Below are 18,965 nucleotides of genomic sequence, written 5' to 3'. Positions count from 1 at the left end.
TTGGCTTTGCTTTAGGGGAGGAGACGAGGTCCCACAACACCCTCTGAAGGGTATATAAGGAGCCCCAGCGTGCAGCCTGGCCTGGTACCTCCTGCCAGCATCTCTTGGGTTTGCTGAGAACTCACGGGCTCCAGCTACCTGGCCATGACCACCACATTTCTGCAAACTTCTTCCTCCACCTTTGGGGGTGGCTCAACCCGAGGGGGTTCCCTCCTGGCTGGGGGAGGTGGCTTTGGTGGGGGGAGTCTCTCTGGGGGAGGTGGAAGCCGAAGTATCTCAGCTTCTTCTGCTAGGTTTGTCTCTTCAGGGTCAGGAGGAGGATATGGGGGTGGCATGAGGGTCTGTGGCTTTGGTGGAGGGGCTGGTAGTGTTTTCGGTGGAGGCTTTGGAGGGGGCGTTGGTGGGGGTTTTGGTGGTGGCTTTGGTGGTGGCGATGGTGGTCTCCTCTCTGGCAATGAGAAAATTACCATGCAGAACCTCAATGACCGCCTGGCCTCCTACCTGGACAAGGTACGTGCCCTGGAGGAGGCCAATGCTGACCTGGAGGTGAAGATCCATGACTGGTACCAGAAGCAGACCCCAACCAGCCCAGAATGCGACTACAGCCAATACTTCAAGACCATTGAAGAGCTCCGGGACAAGGTGAGTCCTCGGATGTCAAAGAGAGGGGAGCAGGTGGCTGGTACCCTGTACACAGCTCTAATGTCAGTGTTACTGCTGACTCAAGGAAATCCTTTCCTGCCCAGGCAATGACTGTCTGGTATGTAATCTCAGCAAATTTGGAATGCACCTGCTGTCCAGGTGCAGAGGCCAGTGCACATCTTCTCAACTTGGTGGTGCTGGGGGAGGGAGAGAGGGGTCTTGGGAATCTGGTTAGGACCAACAGGGGCACAGGTGGGGGCAATTATAAAGAGCCAGAGGCAGTAGCTCACACCTGTAATCCCAGTGCTTTGGGGGGCCAAGGTGATAGGATTGCTCGTGTCCAGGATTTAGAGGCTGCAGTGAGCTATGACTGTGCCACTGCACTCCGGCCTAGGTGACAGAGTGGAACCTGTATCTAATTAAATAAAAATAATTAAAAAAAAAGAGCAACTCGCCCTCCCTACCTCATGCACCCTGCAGGCTTCTGCATAAAGTATTCCTTTACCTCTTTTGCAAGAATGGGATTGGAGTGTGGCCTCATGAGTTCCAGATGCTAGAACCTCTTGTCTTTTCCTATAAAGAGGTCTTTTGTGCCAAAAGTACTGTTGGGTCTTAGGAGACCTGGGAACTCATTACACATTCTGCCACCCACTCACTCACCATTTTACTCCCTAAGACTGGGTTCCTCATTCGTAAAATGCCTTCTTAACTGCCCTCCAGGTTGCTACTGGCTGGAATGTTCTGTAGATCCATGGCTGTGTCCAAGGTGTGCAGGAGGCAGTGACCATGAGTTGTCCACAGTGGGGCTGGTGGAGTGTCTCTGAGAGAGCTATTGTCAGAGCTGGCTGCACCCCACTGCCCCACTCTCCTGGGCAACCAATTCCCACAGGCAATACTGCCTCCTTGGTCTTTCGTGCCCTGGAGATAAGGAAGGCAGCTCCTCAGGTGTCTCAAGGAGGCTGGATGGGACAAAACAAGAAATGGACACTGAAAGTGAGGCTGGACTTTGCCCACCCCAGAAGCCGTACAGATTTTTGTTGGTGGTGTCAGAGGGGTGATTGTCAGTGAGGGGTGATTTTCAATGAGGGGCTGGCCTTGGGTGCAGAGCAGAGAGCAGCAGGGGAGAGAGAGGAGTCCTCTAGACACCGACTCTGTCTCCTGCAGATCATGGCCACCACCATCGACAACTCCCGGGTCATCCTGGAGATCGACAATGCCAGGCTGGCTGCGGACGACTTCAGGCTCAAGTGCGCTCCCCCGTCTCTCTCCTCTTCCTGCATTGCCCACTTTACTTGGCCTTCTCCTGGCTCTGACTCAGGCAGCCAAGACCCCTCCCACTTCCTTCTTTGGCCTCCCTCTCCTCAGGTATGAGAATGAGCTGGCCCTGCGCCAGGGCGTTGAGGCTGACATCAACGGCTTGCGCCGAGTCCTGGATGAGCTGACCCTGGCCAGGACTGACCTGGAGATGCAGATCGAGGGCCTGAATGAGGAGCTAGCCTACCTGAAGAAGAACCACGAAGAGGTGAGAGCTGGCCCCCATCACCCCTGAACCCGAGAGAGGTGGGGAACCTCTTCCCAAAACTCACTTAAATTGCCCAGAGGGAAAGACAGTGGCTCCAGGAAGCCCTCCCAGATTTTCACGAGATTAAGTCAGTGGGAGGCAGAGTGGGGCTGTTGGTACTTCCTCATAGTTGGCCTGGGGCTTAGTGGTTCAGAAACACACCTACCCCACAAAACCAGGTGTCCTCATGGAGAGGAAGGGGCAGTGTCTGGTAGCCCAGGCCCACAGCCAGCCCAGGTGGCCCGTATGAATGGTTGACTTCCTGATTGGCTTTGTGAGCTCACATCAGGGCCCTACAGTCTCGGGGTCCTCCCTTGGTAGGACCTAGAGCAGCAGAGAACTCCTTAGAGCTGAGGGGTCCATGTGACCAAACCTCTTCATGTGCAATGGGGAACAGCGGTTGGGGTGTGTTACGGGCAGAGCCAGGATTGGCATGTGTGACGCCAGACTCTCAGGTCTCTCTTCTGCTCTCCGTCTCTAAGTGGGTCCCTCCCATCCTGCAGGAGATGAAGGAGTTCAGCAGCCAGCTGGCCGGCCAGGTCAATGTGGAGATGGACGCAGCACCGGGTGTGGACCTGACCCGTGTGCTGGCAGAGATGAGGGAGCAGTACGAGGCCATGGCGGAGAAGAACCGCCGGGATGTCGAGGCCTGGTTCTTCAGCAAGGTGGGCCTTATATCCTGCCCTGCCCTTCCTGCCCCAGGTCCCTGAGTCTCCGAGGAGGCCCCGGGGCTCACTTCTGTTGTGCATGACCTACAGACTGAGGAGCTGAACAAAGAGGTGGCCTCCAACACAGAAATGATCCAGACCAGCAAGACGGAGATCACAGACCTGAGACGCACGATGCAGGAGCTGGAGATCGAGCTGCAGTCCCAGCTCAGCATGGTACGGCCACTCGCGCCCCATCCCAGCCTCTCGGGTGGTAGAAGCTCCCACTCTTCCTGGCTATTTAAGCCTTGGAGTTCTCAAGCCCCCTCAAGAGGTGGTTCCCTGAACTCCATTCAGTGCCCCCTCCCTGCTTGCCCTCAGTGGCTTCCTTTCTAGCCTGATGTGTCTATGCATCTGTCACTCCCCCAGAAAGCTGGGCTGGAGAACTCACTGGCCGAGACAGAGTGCCGCTATGCCACGCAGCTGCAGCAGATCCAGGGGCTCATTGGTGGCCTGGAGGCCCAGCTGAGTGAGCTCCGATGCGAGATGGAGGCTCAGAACCAGGAGTACAAGATGCTGCTTGACATAAAGACACGGCTGGAGCAGGAGATCGCTACTTACCGCAGCCTGCTCGAGGGCCAGGATGCCAAGTAGGCGCCTGGGCACAGGGGAAGGAGTGATGAGGGCTGCTTGTGGCTAGGGTGCAGGGTCATCCTAAGGGAATGGCAGGGTGTCCCTAAGCAGCCTTGAGGGACTGTGAAAAGAGAACTGAGCAAGGAGGGAGGATCTGGACTCCTCACTCTGGTCCTTGGCTGTTACCTGGGACAGGTCACTTCCTCTCTCTGGATCCGTGTTTCTTCTGTAAATGATAGAGGCTGGGCTAGTGGTAGTTAAGATCTAGTGCTCATTCCATTCTCTGCATGAGATAGATGGGTATTCTTGTAGTTCAGAATCTTGACCAGCTCAGTGGCTCATGCCTGTAATCCCAGCACTTTGGGAGTCCAAGGCGGGTGGATCACTTGAGGTCAGGAGTTCGAGACCAGCATGGCCAATATGGTGAAACCCCGTCTCTACTAAAAATACAAAAATTAGCTGGGCGTGGTGGCGGGTGCCTGTAATCCCAGCTACTCGGGAGGCTGAGGCACAAGAATCACTTGAACCCGGGAGGCGGAGGTTTCAGTGGGCTGAGATCGTGCCACTGCACTCCAGCCTGGGCGACAGAGTGAGATTCCGTCTCAAAAAACAAAACAAAACAAAACAAAATCTGTCTACTTGGGGATAGCAGGCCTGGATGGGCTAGCAGGATGTCCCACCCCTAGAGGAGTCAGATGTGTGGGTGGTGGTGGTGTAGGGTCTGAAGAACACTGCATAGCTATCTACATGAGCTTCCCTTACGGACACTTGAGCTTGTGCCCTTTGCTTAAATCAGCTTCCCTCTTTCTTTCAGGATGGCTGGCATTGCCATCAGGGAAGGTAGGAAGGCTTTACTCTTCTGGTGTGGGGTGGGGAGGGGAGATGTTGAAGCCACCACCCCCTTCGGAATAGGGAGGAAGGAGAAAGAGCCCAAACATCCCATTAGGTGGGAACATTCCCATTCATTAGATGCCTCTTCCCCAGTGGGAACTTCTGTCAGCCCCAGGTGAGATTGCAGCTGGTGATTTATTGAGAAACTTCCAGGTTGAGTAGGCTTCATTCAGGGCATGTCTCTCCCCCAGGCCCCATCTTCATACACTTCCGCTAAGATGCCCACAATTCATCCCCCTTCATGTGCAGCTTGAAAAACCCTGACATTGTTGCTCCCTGCCGGGCATACCTGCCATTGCCACTGCCCATCTCTGTGATGAGGAATTCAACACCAGATCTCTGGCAGCTCTTGAGGGATTGGCCAGTGGCCATTCTCAGGGGTGCTGTCTAGTTTTCCCAGAGCCCCGCCAAGGTCCTGGCCACCGTGGCAGAGCGGGGAGGTTCCCCCACTCTAAAGCCTACTCCTTCTCTCTCTAGCCTCTTCAGGAGGTGGTGGTAGCAGCAGCAATTTCCACATCAATGTAGAAGAGTCAGTGGATGGACAGGTGGTTTCTTCCCACAAGAGAGAAATCTAAGTGTCTATTGCAGGAGAAACGTCCCTTGCCACTCCCCACTCTCATCAGGCCAAGTGGAGGACTGGCCAGAGGGCCTGCACATGCAAACTCCAGTCCCTGCCTTCAGAGAGCTGAAAAGGGTCCCTCGGTCTTTTATTTCAGGGCTTTGCATGCGCTCTATTCCCCCTCTGCCTCTCCCCACCTTCTTTGGAGCAAGGAGATGCAGCTGTATTGTGTAACAAGCTCATTTGTACAGTGTCTGTTCATGTAATAAAGAATTACTTTTCCTTTTGCAAATATCTCTTGGCAGTATGTCCAGTTTTTCTTGATGGGGTCCTGGTTGGCCTCTGATCTCTGAGGAGACCCAGGGTCCACATGGTGATATCTCCCCCCACTTTGGCCTCTTCCCTGCGTGGCCACAATTCTTTTGGGTACCCAGGGCACCAGTGGCTGGGACAAACATAGTGCTACTCAGGTAATTTGCTCTTCTGGGTCACCATGGGGTGACCAGGGAAGTGAGGGTGGGGAGGTTCCCTAAAAAGAGTTTGGTGTACCCAGCACAGAACTCAACACATCTAATAATTATGAATATTTACCAAGTGACTGATCGCGTTGATTGTCTTTGTTCGCCATCCCATGGCTGGCATGATGCCAGGCACGCTCACCCATGGGGCTCATTTAATCCTCACCACTGTAGGTGGTCAGGATTTATTATTCCCACCTTAGAGATGAGGTCACTGGAGGCAGAGAGAAGAATAACTTGCCCCGGGCCTTGTGGATGGATGATAAGTAGCAGGGCTGGGCCTGGGCCTGTGTCTGTAGGACTCCAAGACCAGGGCTTGCTCTAGGACCCCAGGGCCCTTTTCACAGCCTGCTGCCAGGACCCTGCTCCTTGCTTCTGACCCTCACCACATGTGCTGCTCCAATCTCCCATCCTTTCTAGCCAGGCATAACACCTCCAGAGTGGCCGAGCCAGTTCCCAATTTGACTCCCCTGCAGAGCTGGCCCCATCCCCCCTGAAGCTGATGCCTCCTCCCAAAAGGCACTTATATTGCCCAGAGGGAAAGACACCAGCTCCAGGAAGCCCTCGAGATTTTCCCAAGATTAAGTTGAAAGCATCATCAACCCCTCTTACCCTCCTTAATCCAAATCCTGCTCCTGCTCCCCCATCCCCAGCATCTCCACCAGAGTCCTTCTAGAGCGGTAGCATCCATGCACACATTGTTTGTGGCCTCTGGTCTCAGGCTGTTTTCTCTGAGCTCTTGCATTTATCGTCCCAAACCGAGGGCAGAAAATGAGGAAGCACAGAACTCTGGGTGCAGAGGCTGGGCTGGCTCAGGAACTGGGGTGAGAATTGGGGGTGGGGAGGGAGAACCGGTTTCTTGGTCTCACTGGGAAGAGCAGATTGGAGGTGCTTCTGTCTTTGGAGAATCCGATCTTTTGGGGGAAGGGTCAAGCCCTCTGAGAGGGTCCCCATGTGTCTTGTTGTGCAAAGCCTCTTCCCCACAAACCCCTGGTTGGAGGTAAAGTGGTGCCTGCTCTTTCTAGGGGAGATTTAATTAAGAATGTGTCTCCTGAGAACGCACACAGGTGAGACTTCCTGGGGCTGGAGGAAGGAAATGGAATTTAGTGAGTGTCTATGATATGTCAGGCCCTGGGTTGGGCATTCCGGGATGGCATCTCATTAATTCTTCCAATAGCTCTTTAAGTTAGTATCAGCCTTCAGCGTCAGTTTCAGAAGAGGAAACTGAGGCCTGGAGAAGTTTAGTAACCTGAATGAGGTCACAAGCCAGGAAATGGTGAAGCTGGGTCTGGGACTGGTCGCTCTGATTCCAGACCCTCGCTTTGCCCTTTAAGTCGTGAGGTGACAGAAGCTGCAACACTTTTCTTAAGAGATATGCTAACTAAAAATCTAAAACCCATCTTTTGTTTTTAAATTTTTTATAAGAGGCCAGGTCTCGCTCTGTTGCCCAGGCTGGTCTCAGCTCCTGGCCTCAAGTGATCCTCCTGCCTTAGCCTCCCGAGTAGCTGGGATTATAGGAGTGAACTGCTGCGCCCGACAGAAACCCATTTCTTAACCTCTGCGGGCAGCATGCCAAATGCCATACAGTCATTAACGTCAGAAAGATTGTCCTCACGTCTAACCTTAGTCTCTCATGCTGTGGTTTAAGTTCACCCTGACATCCAAACCATTAGCTAGCTGCCAGATCCCCCACGTCCTGGGAACAGCCAGTCTCCTTCCCACCTCTCTTCGGCTCCTGCCAGTAGAAGCTGGTGGCCTGGCTGCTGCTTCTGCCTCACTGGCCTTCGGGCCTCTGTCAAGAGGTCTCAGGCCTCCCAAACAGCCAGCAAAGGGTTTTCTCAGCCTTTAGTTTCCAAAACTAACAACGACTGTGAAAGGTGCAGAGAGGCAAGATGACTTCGCCTATGGGCTGCGTCCAGTGTGCCTTCTCTCTGGGCCAGACTCTGGCTTGGGGGTAGGAGGAAAATCTCCTATCTCCCTGAAGTACCTGTTTCTGCTCTCCTGGGATGCCTGGAGGGGCTGTCAGAGAAATCCTCGGAACTTGCCAAGTCCCGTTCCCAACCTGACCCTGGAGTGAGACACCTGCATCCAGGGATGGCTCATGCCCTGCTGAGCCTTTAATAGTCTCTGGGCAGCAAGGGTACACCTTCTGAGTGCCCTGGGCTGAGGTCAGGCTTGGTTTCCAGCCAATCAGAGAAGCAGGCAGTGGGTGATGCCCCTCCCTTCTCCCCATAGAGAGAGGGCGGCTTTCCGACCAGAGATTAGGGCCTTGGGTGTGTCCCCTGCTCAGGCTGGGCTTCTTAGACCAGGCATAAGACATGCTTGCTGCTATCTCCCTGAGGACTGTGGCTGGCCCCTGCCTCTCTCTGGGTTTCAGTTTCCCCACTTTTCAATTGGGAGTCTGGCTGGACAAGATGATCCTGAGGGTCTCTATGAGATGATCTGTATCCTGGGACCTCAGACGGGAGGCTGTGACAGCAGGGACTATGTTCACTGTCTTTACTGCTGAATTTTCAGTGCGAGTGCTAAATAAATATTTGTTTAATGCGTGAACTTGCTTCTCCTTTGCTTTTTCCTGCCTTAGACATTCATCAGTATGCTGGGCATGTGCCCACCTGGTGGCCACCTGGCCACCTGTCCCTCCATGGGCAGCTGGCAGCACGGGGGAAATAAGGAGCAGACAGCTTTTCTCCTGAGATTTTTTTTTTCTATTACCACCAGCAGCTCTCCTGAATTGGAGCTGGGGTGACCCCATTGGACACCACTCATGTTTGCCAATCCTCACCTAAAGCCAGGGGACAAAATGTCCCCGAAACAGCATCTCAGGCATTTATCCTGAGCTTTCCTGTGCCAGGAGCAGGATTTGGGGGTATATTCAGCAAAGGTCCCATCATCAGGCAACCTGAGATGGAGTGGGAGAAGTAAATTAGGAAATCCACCTCCTGTCATTTGCCTGCTTGCTGTGGGCGCCATGCTGACTGTAGGGACCAGAAAAGGAAGGGAAGCAAAGCAATGTGTCCCTGCTGGGTGGAGGCTTAGAGGAATTCTGACAGGTCACTGAGCAATGCTGAGCTTGCATTTCCTCATTTGTAAAAGGGAGGCAGTAGCAACCTCCTGCCTGCCCAGCACCTCCTGTGTCTCAGGTATCTGAGGAGCCTGGAATATTAACTCATCTAGTGCCCATTTTTCAGTGGTGACCACTGAAGCACTGAGAGGTTGAGTGACTTTCCCAAGATTACACAGTGAGTCGGTGGTGGATGGAGGATTGAAATTCAGGTCTACCCTGTCCAAAGCCCTTGCTGAGTTCACTGGGTATCTGAGAAGCCAGTGGTGGTGTAAAAGGGATTTTAAAAAGTTGGGCGCTGTAGAAATGCAAGAGCCTAAGGCATTGAGGCTTAGCCTTGAAAGACTTCTGGGTGGTGCTGTGCCAAGCAGGCATCTCTGAGGAGTGGGAGCTGCCCAGAGGGCCTGGGGTGACTCTCTGGGGAAGGGTTGCCTTTCAGGAGAGGCCTCTTCCCTGTGGAGGAGCCTTGAGACCCTTTTTGAGGTTGGTCAGTCATCCTGGATTCTAGGTCCCATGGAGTCCAGGGAGAGAGGTGCCTGATCCAAGAAAGGAATTCCAGATTAGAGTCTGAGCGACAGGGTTGAAGCCTCACCTCTGCAGATAAACAATCTAATGACTGTGGACAAATCTTTGAGAATCAGAGACTCAGAAAGGCAACTTGCTGAAGGAAACTTAGAAATCATTTCAATGTATGGCCCATGATGAGCTGGTGGTACAGCTGGAAATTCATGCATTTTTCCCCCCTTATTCCGCTTATTCCTGGACTTCAGTATTCTGGGCCTTGGCATTCTGAGCCTCAGATTCCCCACAGGTGACATGAGGGGGTTGGATGAGAAAGTTCCTACAACAATTTTGTGCTGAATGAGCACTCCCACGGGCGGGAAGCAGGACAGTCCACCGGCCCGGCCTGGGGTGACAGGTTGGCCTGAGAAAGGGAAAGGCCACAGAAGATAACCTTGCTTGGGTGGGGATGGTGCCAGCACTGGCCTGAAAGGGGCTTACCATGGACACGATAGCACTTTCGAGTTTGGGAAACATGTTTAACCTCTCTGGGCCTCAGCTTTCTCACCTGAGAAAAGGGTATAATAAAAACAATAGAGTGGCTTTGAGGACCGAATGAGATTACATCTGTGGAGTGCTTAACCGAGGCTTCAATAAATGTTAGCTAGTGTTATTTTTATTATCTTTTAACATATATAGAATGTGAATATAGAAAAAAACCCCTACTTTTTCCTATCTATACCCATGCTCAACATAGAACAGTTCTGTGTCCTCCCACAAAACAATCCTCTGAAACCAACTGGGTGTCCTAGAAGTCAATGTTATTTTGACACTAACTGTAGTTAGCACGGACCCCACAGATTAGGGGCTCAGTCCCACCAGGCTGCCCCCACAGCCAACTTCAGATGCCAACTGCAAAGAGTAGGTCCCGAGGTGACCCACAACTTCTGTCTGACTTGGCTACAGATCACCACAAGGGGTTGATGACCCCCTTCTCGGGTTCAATAATTTGGTAGCACAGCTCGCAGAACCCAGGAAAACAGTGCACTTATTGTTGCCAATTTATGACAAAGGGTATTTTAAAGGATAAAAATGAACAGCCAGATGAAGAGATACACAGGGCGAGGTGCAGAGGTGTCTTGAGAGCAGGAGCATCTGTCCTTGTGAAGCTGGGGTGCACCATGCTCCTGGGACATGGATGTGTTCTTGTTCACCAACCTGGAAGCTCTCTGAACTCCATAGTTTAAGGATTTGTATGGAGGCTTCATCACATAGCCATAGTCAATTACAAACTCAATGTCCGGCCCCTCTCCCCTTCCCGGAGGACCAGCGATGGGGTGGGCTGAAAGTCTTTGTGGTGACCAGCCTCCCTCCGGGAGCTCACCAAGAATCACCTCATTAGAACAGAAGACGCTCCTTTCACTAGGAGATTCTAAGGGAGTAAAAGTTCTATGTCAGAAACTGGGCTTAAAGACTAAACATTAGAACTAAGATGCTCCTAGCACCCTTATTACTCAGGGAATTACAAGGGTTTTAAGAACATTCAGAGATCATACATCTGAATTCACAGCAAGGTTGCTGAGATGTCATCAGGGTAGAGAAGGCCAGAAGCCAGGTCTAAATCTTGCTTTCTTGGTATCCTTGGATAAGTGACTTTCCCTCCCTGAACCTTGGCTGCCTCATCTATAAAATGGGGCTGACTTAAACCCTCTCCTGTTGTGAGACTTGGTGACAGTGTGTTAAGCCCAGCCTTGCTTGCAGGGGTACTCATAATGCAGTTTTGCTGCTCCTTCCCTTGAAACGTTCTTGGGAGGAGACCGCAGTCATTGGGTTTCTTTTTGTTGTTGTTGTTGTTTTTGCCAAAAAACAAAGCAGAAAGCTTAAGACGAGGTAGCAGTGCCTCAGCCCCAGCGCTCTCTCCTTCTTCCATTAGGACCAGGGTGGAAATAGGAAAAAAGATGGGTCCCTGGTTGGATCTCTGCCTAGCTTCCTCCCAGAGGGCTCTGGGATTCACTGCGGGTTGGAGGAAGGCAGTCCTGTGTCAAGGCATTACAAGTCCCCGCTAAGCGGGCAGAGGCTGTGCCCTGACCCCGCAAAGGAAGGAATGTCACGGGCCACTCCGTGTTTGTGTTACTGGGGCTTTGGAGGATCTGCAGCATTGTTACTCTAAGAGGCGTTGGCCTGAACCTGCTTGTCAGCTCTGGGAGGTTTGGGGCATTGTTACCCCAGGCATGGCAGGTTCCATTAATCACCTTCTTGTCAGTTTTGATCCTCTACCGAGAGAGCAAGAGCTCCTGCTTTGGGCTGAATCACCCCTTTTCAGAGAGAGAGAGAGAGAGAGAGAGAGCTGAGCCATCAGCTTGGGCAGGAGGGCCGGGCAGGGTCAGGGGTTAGCCTGAATCCCTGGCCTCGCAAGGCTGTTAGAACACTGGCAACGTGCCCTGGCTCTGTCCCTGCTGATACCCCTGCGGGAAGCACAGGCCCGCTTCTCTACCCCAGAAAACAAAGGCCCAGAAAGCCCTGACTCAGATTTCTCCTTTCTGATCTTGCTGAATCAGTGAAGGGGGTTCCAGGAGAACCTCATGCCTGTGCCACCCCACCCAGCCCCTGGCCTGGTATCATCCAGACCTTTGTGGCTGCTGTGGGCCAGAAAGCTGCTCCCAAGATGCCATCCACAGCAACCCTGGCCCCTTGGTGAGTGGGGCCTGGGAGTCTGCATTCAGGGTCCTCCATTGTCAGCCCTGGAATGGAGGACCTTCTATCCTGGCCTCACAGATGCCATCTGAGGTCCTTTTCTCCCAGCCTGAATGGGGAAGCTCCCTCTGGCAGGGTTCTTACATAGTCCCTGAGTTTCTCAGCCACATCTCAGGATCCTAAGCTGAGACCCTGGCCCTGGGTCCTGTGTCACATCCTCTTATGTGGCCTCTTGGCTGGGACAGACCTCATATGACTGGCGTACTAGAAAGGACCCTGCTCACATTATTACAGGGCCGTCTTCCTGGATGTGACTGTGCCCTAAAGCAGTCAGCGTAATGGAGTGATTCAACCCGAGGGCCAGACTGACCCAGGCATCTCAACCTCAACACTATTGATATTTTGGGTCTGATAATTCTTTGCTGTGGGGACAGTCCTGCACCTTATAGGATGTTTAGCAGCATACCTGGTGTTTAGCTATCAGTAGTGCCCCCAAGTTGTGACAACCAAAATGTTCCTAGACATTGTCAAACGTCCCCTGGAGAGCAAAGCAGCCTCTAGCTGAGGACCTCTGAACTTGTCTATGGGGACAGAAGTTGGAAGAGTGGTTACACCAGGGGTGTGGAGTCAGGTAATTGACTGGGAAAAGGTACAAGGACCTTTATGGAATGCTGGGAATGTCCTGGGTGGTGTTTACACAGGTCGTGCATACCCATGCGTGACATCAAGCTGGACACGTGATCTATACATTTTACTGTATGAAAAATGTACCTAAAAAATGCACCTTAGCGTCAGACAGAACCAGACTTGGATTTCAGTCCTGATTCTGCCCTTAAGGTTCATTTTCCTCATGTGTAAATGGGGGCAATAGTAGGACCCTCCTCCTGTGGCTGCTGTGAAGGTTAAATGAGATGATGAGTGTAAAGTAACTTCACCCAGTTCCTGCCTATGGTGAGGGCTCGGAGAATATTCGCTATGATAATGGACAGGGCCACTTCCTCTTTCCATGCCTGAGTTTCCACAGCTGTGTCTGATGGTCCCTAAGATCCCTTAAGGTCTCTGTCACTGTGACTTTTTCTGATGGCCTCGGAGCTATTTCTTTCTCAGTCTAAATACTTTCAAGGCAGGTGATTCTATCGAACCAAGCAAAGTTTGTCATCAGAGTTGCTGGGGCCCCTGGAGTAGATGAAGTGCTAAGAAGGATCCAGGACATCCCAGTCAGAAGTTTTAGGTATAGAAAAAAGGAAGGTCGAGGGCTACGGTGACCTTGCAAAGCACAGAGCCACTCTGCACCCACCACTTTCCTCGCAGAAGCTCCTGGCAGGCCTCCGCATCTCAGGTCCCGTTCTAATACTGGGTGGGGCTCAGAGCCTGCACAGTGAACTCCTTAAGTGGAGGTGAAACAGAATTCACTTGTCAAAAGGGCAGTCTCAGGCAGAATGCTGTCCCCTCTGAATCATTCTTTTTGTTAAGGATTAAAAAAAAAGCCACCCCCAAAAGGCACAACCCACCCTGGAGAGATCAGAGATAACTAAGCTTGTGGGAAACAGAAGTGTAGTTGGCACCAAGTCAGAGGGTGGGGAAGGGAGGAGAGAAGATAACCAGCCCCTATGGAGGTGTATAAAAGGTGTCCACTCTGGGGAAGAGCCACAGTCCTCGGCCCAGGCCAAGCAAGCTTCTATCTGCACCTGCTCTCAATCCTGCTCTCACCATGAGCCTCCGCCTGCAGAGCTCCTCTGCCAGCTATGGAGGTGGTTTCGGGGGTGGCTCTTGCCAGCTGGGAGGAGGCCGTGGTGTCTCTACCTGTTCAACTCGGTTTGTGTCCGGGGGATCAGCTGGGGGCTATGGAGGCGGCGTGAGCTGTGGTTTTGGTGGAGGGGCTGGTAGTGGCTTTGGAGGTGGCTATGGAGGTGGCCTTGGAGGTGGCTATGGAGGTGGCCTTGGAGGTGGCTTTGGTGGGGGTTTTGCTGGTGGCTTTGTTGACTTTGGTGCTTGTGATGGCGGCCTCCTCACTGGCAATGAGAAGATCACCATGCAGAACCTCAACGACCGCCTGGCTTCCTACCTGGAGAAGGTGCGCGCCCTGGAGGAGGCCAACGCTGACCTGGAGGTGAAGATCCGTGACTGGCACCTGAAGCAGAGCCCAGCTAGCCCTGAGCGGGACTACAGCCCCTACTACAAGACCATTGAAGAGCTCCGGGACAAGGTGAGCCCTTGGAAGCTGAGGAGGGGTCCTCCATGAAGGGCAGAGCCTCCAAGGCCAAGAAACACAGTGTTGTGGGGGACTAGGTGTGGACGGAATTCACAAACTTCTTGCAGGGGAAAAGCCTACTGTTTGACTACCAAGAGTCTCTACCTCTGATGGGCTTTCTCATGCCACAACTCCCCAAATGCATTTTCTCTCATTATTCATTTTTATGATTGTTATTACTCAGGTCAGTTTTTTTACTGCTTTCCAGACAGTTATGTTATTCATGACTCGATCTCTATAATCCTAACCTACTGAGTTATCTGGAAACATGACAGGTTTAAAAGCCATTAAGAATGCATGAAATCAACAGAGAAAGAGAGACGTGTTCATTCATTGCCCTGGGAATAATTGTTTACTTTGTAGGGGACCCATTCAAACTGGTATTCTCAACTGGCGATGGCCAAGTTGGGGGAGAGAGAGGCAGAGGCTTAGGCAGTGCCGAGCCTGGGTGCCCTTTGTTGAGCCCTGTCTGTTGTGCTGTGATACCAGCCTGTTGGAGCAGAAATCTACCAGCCTGGGCTGAGTCTCAGCCATGTGGAGCAGGCTTTCACTGCTTTGGAATATAAACGTTTAGACAAGAAATTCAAAGGGATGGGAATATTTGTTGGATTTCCCCTCCACTCAGCTGGGAAGTCAGCTCTAGCAAAGTGATTGTGAGATATGTGGCACCAAGCCGAGTCCCTCCTGACTTTCAGGGGATGGATCTCAAGACAGTGGCCTAGGGAGGGTGCTAGTCTGAGGCTGCCAAGACATGACGAACCAAAGATGTTCTCAGCAGGTCGTTCCTCAGAAATGCACTCCCTGCATCTCCCCCAGGGTGCTCAGACATGGAATATTAAAGTGTTAGAAACGATTGGAGGGGATGCAGCCCCACTCCTCACTTTACAGAAGAGCAATGGAGGCCCAGAGGGAAATGCCTTGTCCCAGCTCACAGGACAGTTTAGAGGTAGAGCCCCATGGGAACCAGGTCCTGCCCATGTTTTCCCAGGCCACCTCCTCAAGCACGTGGACCCCCCAGAGCAAGCTTGTCTAACCTGTGGCCGGTGGGCTGCATGTGGCCCAGGACAGCTTTGATTGAGGCCTAACACAAATTTGTAAGCTTTCTTAAAACATTGAGTTTTTTTTTATTTTTTATTTTTGCCAATTTCTTTTTAGCCCATCAGCTATCGTTAGTGTTAGCGTATTTGATGTGTTGCCCAAGACAATTCTTCTTCCAATGTGGCCCAGGGAAGCCAACAGACTGGACACCCATGCCCTAGAGGTTACCTTCTTCTGCATTTTGTAGATCCTGACCGCCACCATTGAAAACAACCGGGTCATCCTGGAGATTGACAATGCCAGGCTGGCTGCGGACGACTTCAGGCTCAAGTGAGTTTTTTTTTTCCCCCTCCCTCTCCTTTCCCAGGAGTCTCTTAGTTTAGACAAAAGCTCATCTGACCAATGACACTGGAGCATCCCAGGAGTGAAGGTCTGGAAGTACTGGAGTCTCGTGCAGGGGTAGGGAGAATGTCTCATATCATTTATGTCTTGCTTTTTCAAAAAACATTTCATTTTTTTACTATTTTAGGTATGAGAATGAGCTGGCCCTGCGCCAGAGCGTGGAGGCCGACATCAACGGCCTGCGCCGGGTGCTGGATGAGCTCACTCTGTCTAAGACTGACCTGGAGATGCAGATCGAGAGCCTGAATGAAGAGCTAGCCTACATGAAGAAGAACCATGAAGAGGTGAGCGGGAATTGCAGGCTGCCCTGGGCTCAACAACCTCCAGTGAGAAGGAGGAGCCCTCCCCTGCAACTGGACACAGTCCTCCACTGTGGGACCTGGAAACACTCTCCAGAACACTCTGCCAGCACTCAGAGCCAAGGAGAGGGAGGATGAGTAGCCTCACACATCTTCCTTTCCCATCCCCACAGGAGATGAAGGAATTTAGCAACCAGGTGGTCGGCCAGGTCAACGTGGAGATGGATGCCACCCCAGGCATTGACCTGACCCGCGTGCTGGCAGAGATGAGGGAGCAGTACGAGGCCATGGCAGAGAGGAACCGCCGGGATGCTGAGGAATGGTTCCACACCAAGGTACCCGGCCCTCCCACCCCACATAGCCCATCCCATATAGCCAGGGGGGCCGGGCGGACACAGCCTCTTGGTCAGGCTGCTCGAGCTGAGCTTCCCCACCACCTTCTTCCTGCTTGCATTTCAGAGTGCAGAGCTGAACAAGGAGGTGTCTACCAACACTGCCATGATTCAGACCAGCAAGACAGAGATCACGGAGCTCAGGCGCACGCTCCAAGGCCTGGAGATTGAGCTGCAGTCCCAGCTGAGCATGGTATGCCTGCAGCCTCCTGCCCGGTGGCGACCACCTCTAGGTTTCCCTCTGGCCTGGCTCCCTCTGTAACTTCTTGTCTGTCGCTCCACCAGAAAGCGGGGCTGGAGAACACGGTGGCAGAGACGGAGTGCCGCTATGCCCTGCAGCTGCAGCAGATCCAGGGACTCATCAGCAGCATCGAGGCCCAGCTGAGCGAGCTCCGCAGTGAGATGGAGTGCCAGAACCAAGAGTACAAGATGCTGCTGGACATCAAGACACGTCTGGAGCAGGAGATCGCCACCTACCGCAGCCTGCTCGAGGGCCAGGACGCCAAGTAGGTCCTCTCCAGCCTCTTTCTTAGGATAGTGACTGCAGGACCCGTGGGTGTCAGAGCAGGCAGGGCCTTAGAGATCCACCCCCTCATGTCAGAGAGGAGACCCCTCACTGTCTGACTTTACGGGGACATTTCCTTGGTAGGCTGCAGGGTTAACACCTTTAAACTTTCTAATTTGGGCCTCCAAGTTAGACTGGAGGGAACAGAGACCATGGAGGGAACATCTGATATTGGAAAAACATGAGCTTGGATACAGCTCAGCTGAACAAAGCTATTACTATGGTGCTTTAACTGCCTTTAGACCCTTTGCAGAAATCAAGCCACCCCTGTGGGCTCAGGGCTCAGGTGGAGGGTTGCGGGTTTGGGCGATCCAGAGGGAAGACAAACACCCTGAATCTTGTGGCTAATAATATCTCCCCTTGAGACCTCTCAGACAGACAGACAGGAAAGACAGACAGTCCCAGTGGGCACCTGATGCTGCTGTCCCTTGAGCTGGGGGCACAGCTAGGAGGCACTAGAGTCCAGCCCAGGGGCTTGAAATGATAAGCCGAGGCACTTCCCCAGAGGAACAGGTAAGCACCTGCCCTCAGTTACCCTCTGCTCATGGCCACCTCTGTCCTCTCTCCCAGGATGATTGGTTTCCCTTCCTCAGCAGGTAAGGGAACAGCCCCGTGGTGTAGGGGGAGGCAGAGTTAGCCTCCCATTCACTGCCCCAATGGGGGTGGGAGCTGGCGGGGAGGGAGGGAGCCAGTGCTGGGCTCTCCAGTGTAGGGAGGGGGAGAGCTGGGGTGGAAGTGGTCATTCGCTCACTGATTTTCCTTTTGAAACTGATGGCTCTGCCCCACAGAGCTATTTGGCTGTCTTGGGAAGAGCCATCTTTGGGGACAATAAAGAGTCTCCATCCACGCACCACCTGACTAATGAGGAGTTTGTGAGCCCTCCAGGGGGGCCCTGCCCTGTCCTGAGGTGGGTCTTCTCCAGCCTGAGCATGTCTTGTCTCTTGTTTCCCAGGAAGCGTCAGCCCCCGTAGCACCTCTGTTACCACGACTTCTAGTGCCTCTGTTACCACCACCTCTAATGCCTCTGGTCGCCGCACTTCTGATGTCCGTAGGCCTTAAATCTGCCTGGCGTCCCCTCCCTCTGTCTTCAGCACCCAGAGGAGGAGAGAGCCGGCAGTTCCCTGCAGGAGAGAGGAGGGGCTGCTGGACCCAAGGCTCAGTCCCTCTGCTCTCAGGACCCCCTGTCCTGACTCTCTCCTGATGGTGGGCCCTCTGTGCTCTTCTCTTCCGGTCGGATCTCTCTCCTCTCTGACCTGGATACGCTTTGGTTTCTCAACTTCTCTACCCCAAAGAAAAGATTATTCAATAAAGTTTCCTGCCTTTCTGCAAACATATTTTTGATTCTGGCCTGGTTTCTTAGGTGGCCCCTGCTAGGGCCCTGGTTTAGCGGGTGAGGGGGACACAGCTGGGCGGAGTAGCTAATCCAGACAACGACAAGCCTGGGGAGCTTCCTATCTAGGAAGGACAGACATAGGCCCATGGGCCATCTGAGCACACAGACACAACAACGGCAAACACAGGGGACACAGGCAGCTCACAGACGATGGTGTCCAGCAGACATGGACAGACGGAACACACCAGAGACAGCGCAGGGGCACGTGAGCCAGTTCAACAGCCTTGCAGATTAGGATGTTCAGTGAGAATGGCAGCTGATAGTAGAGTCAAGGGAGCGTGAAACATGGGCAAAAAGTACAGATGCCTCTGGGGCAGGCTGCAAGGGGCCAGTGAAGGGGTGATCTGGGGAGAAGGAGGCCCAGCCCCCACCTGCCACCTCCCTGCTTCCTGCAGAGAGGTTTATTCTCAGGCAAATGGCTCCTTGTTGGCCTGAGGCATCCACTCCTAATGTCCTCCCCAGCCCACCCCTAGGTCTTGCCACTCCCAACCACTCCTGGGACCAGCTCCCTGGCTGGCCGCTGCACTAACCTGGCCCCTTCTCTCTGTGCTCCCCACTCTCTCCCTGCCGCTTTGGCTGCCCCTGCTCTGATTCGCAACCTCTTCCTGCTCTGCTCACTCCTTGCACGTTGACTCACCTCCTGGATTCCGGTGTGGGTGTTCTTCTCTTTTTCCTCTTCACTGTCCCTGTGGGTCATCCAGGACATAACCATGGTTACAGTTGCCTGTATGTTCTGATAACGCCCAAACTCGAATCTCCACTGAGGCCCCTCCCAGCCTCAGACTCCCATTGCCAACAGTGAGCCAGACATCACCTCCTTCAATCCACCCAGGCAAAAGAGCTCCCATCATCCTCCCAGATCTGCTCCTTCCTTGCCCTTTATCCCGGAGAACCTGGAAAGCTGAGCCAGGAGCC

At 53.1% G+C, this 18,965-nt stretch overlaps 2 protein-coding genes and 1 non-coding gene across 6 annotated transcripts, besides 1 other annotated feature; all 3 read left to right on the top strand.

Moving 5' to 3' along the window:
* KRT15 (keratin 15) lies at nt 82-5,227 on the top strand. Of its 3 annotated transcripts, none has more exons than NM_002275.4 (8): nt 82-642; nt 1,807-1,889; nt 2,008-2,164; nt 2,707-2,868; nt 2,962-3,087; nt 3,280-3,500; nt 4,298-4,323; nt 4,852-5,227. In NM_002275.4, the coding sequence occupies exons 1-8, from the start codon at nt 145-147 to the stop codon at nt 4,947-4,949; spliced, it is 1,371 nt and encodes a 456-aa protein (NP_002266.3). In that variant the 5' UTR covers nt 82-144; the 3' UTR covers nt 4,950-5,227. The 3 variants fall into 3 exon arrangements, with proteins under 3 accessions (NP_002266.3, XP_011523086.1, XP_016880103.1); XM_011524784.4 differs by having other exon boundaries at nt 2,686-2,868; XM_017024614.3 differs by having other exon boundaries at nt 2,686-2,868; nt 4,832-4,866.
* Nucleotides 1,447-2,331: an enhancer, noted in NCBI's record as "H3K27ac-H3K4me1 hESC enhancer chr17:39672893-39673777 (GRCh37/hg19 assembly coordinates)". NCBI's record gives its function as "activates a minimal SCP1, AML or CMV promoter by ChIP-STARR-seq in naive H9 embryonic stem cells {active_cell/tissue: H9 hESC(naive)}" and the evidence as "EXISTENCE:reporter gene assay evidence [ECO:0000049][PMID:30033119]".
* Nucleotides 1,755-1,808, top strand: MIR6510 (microRNA 6510). Its single transcript, NR_106765.1, has one exon. It is a non-coding gene; the product is annotated as a microRNA 6510 (primary transcript).
* Nucleotides 13,360-17,991, top strand: KRT13 (keratin 13). 2 transcript variants are annotated; one of them, NM_153490.3, is made up of 8 exons: nt 13,360-13,916; nt 15,247-15,329; nt 15,529-15,685; nt 15,874-16,035; nt 16,160-16,285; nt 16,378-16,598; nt 17,228-17,253; nt 17,610-17,991. In NM_153490.3, exons 1-8 carry the CDS (start codon nt 13,422-13,424, stop codon nt 17,714-17,716), a joined length of 1,377 nt encoding a protein of 458 aa, NP_705694.3. In that variant the 5' UTR covers nt 13,360-13,421; the 3' UTR covers nt 17,717-17,991. The 2 variants fall into 2 exon arrangements, with proteins under 2 accessions (NP_705694.3, NP_002265.3); NM_002274.4 differs by lacking the exon at nt 17,228-17,253.

Source organism: Homo sapiens, chromosome 17 (assembly GCF_000001405.40).
Source record: "Homo sapiens chromosome 17, GRCh38.p14 Primary Assembly".
NCBI classification, from domain to species: Eukaryota; Metazoa; Chordata; class Mammalia; order Primates; family Hominidae; genus Homo; species Homo sapiens.
Note: the sequence above shows the minus strand (reverse complement) of the source record. Positions and strands in the feature narration are given on the sequence as shown.

What these genes read in the sequence shown, in the direction of transcription:
- KRT15 (XM_011524784.4), top strand. Translation starts at nt 145, where the DNA reads ATGACCACCACATTTCTGCAAACTTCTTCCTCCACCTTTGGGGGTGGC. An exon ending in TGAAGAAGAACCACGAAGAG is followed by an intron (nt 2,165 to 2,685) that starts GTGAGAGCTGGC and finishes TCCGTCTCTAAG; the next exon opens with TGGGTCCCTCCCATCCTGCA. An exon ending in CTCGAGGGCCAGGATGCCAA is followed by an intron (nt 3,501 to 4,297) that starts GTAGGCGCCTGG and finishes TCTTTCTTTCAG; the next exon opens with GATGGCTGGCATTGCCATCA.
- KRT13 (NM_153490.3), top strand. Translation starts at nt 13,422, where the DNA reads ATGAGCCTCCGCCTGCAGAGCTCCTCTGCCAGCTATGGAGGTGGTTTC. An exon ending in TGAAGAAGAACCATGAAGAG is followed by an intron (nt 15,686 to 15,873) that starts GTGAGCGGGAAT and finishes CCATCCCCACAG; the next exon opens with GAGATGAAGGAATTTAGCAA. An exon ending in TGCAGTCCCAGCTGAGCATG is followed by an intron (nt 16,286 to 16,377) that starts GTATGCCTGCAG and finishes TCGCTCCACCAG; the next exon opens with AAAGCGGGGCTGGAGAACAC.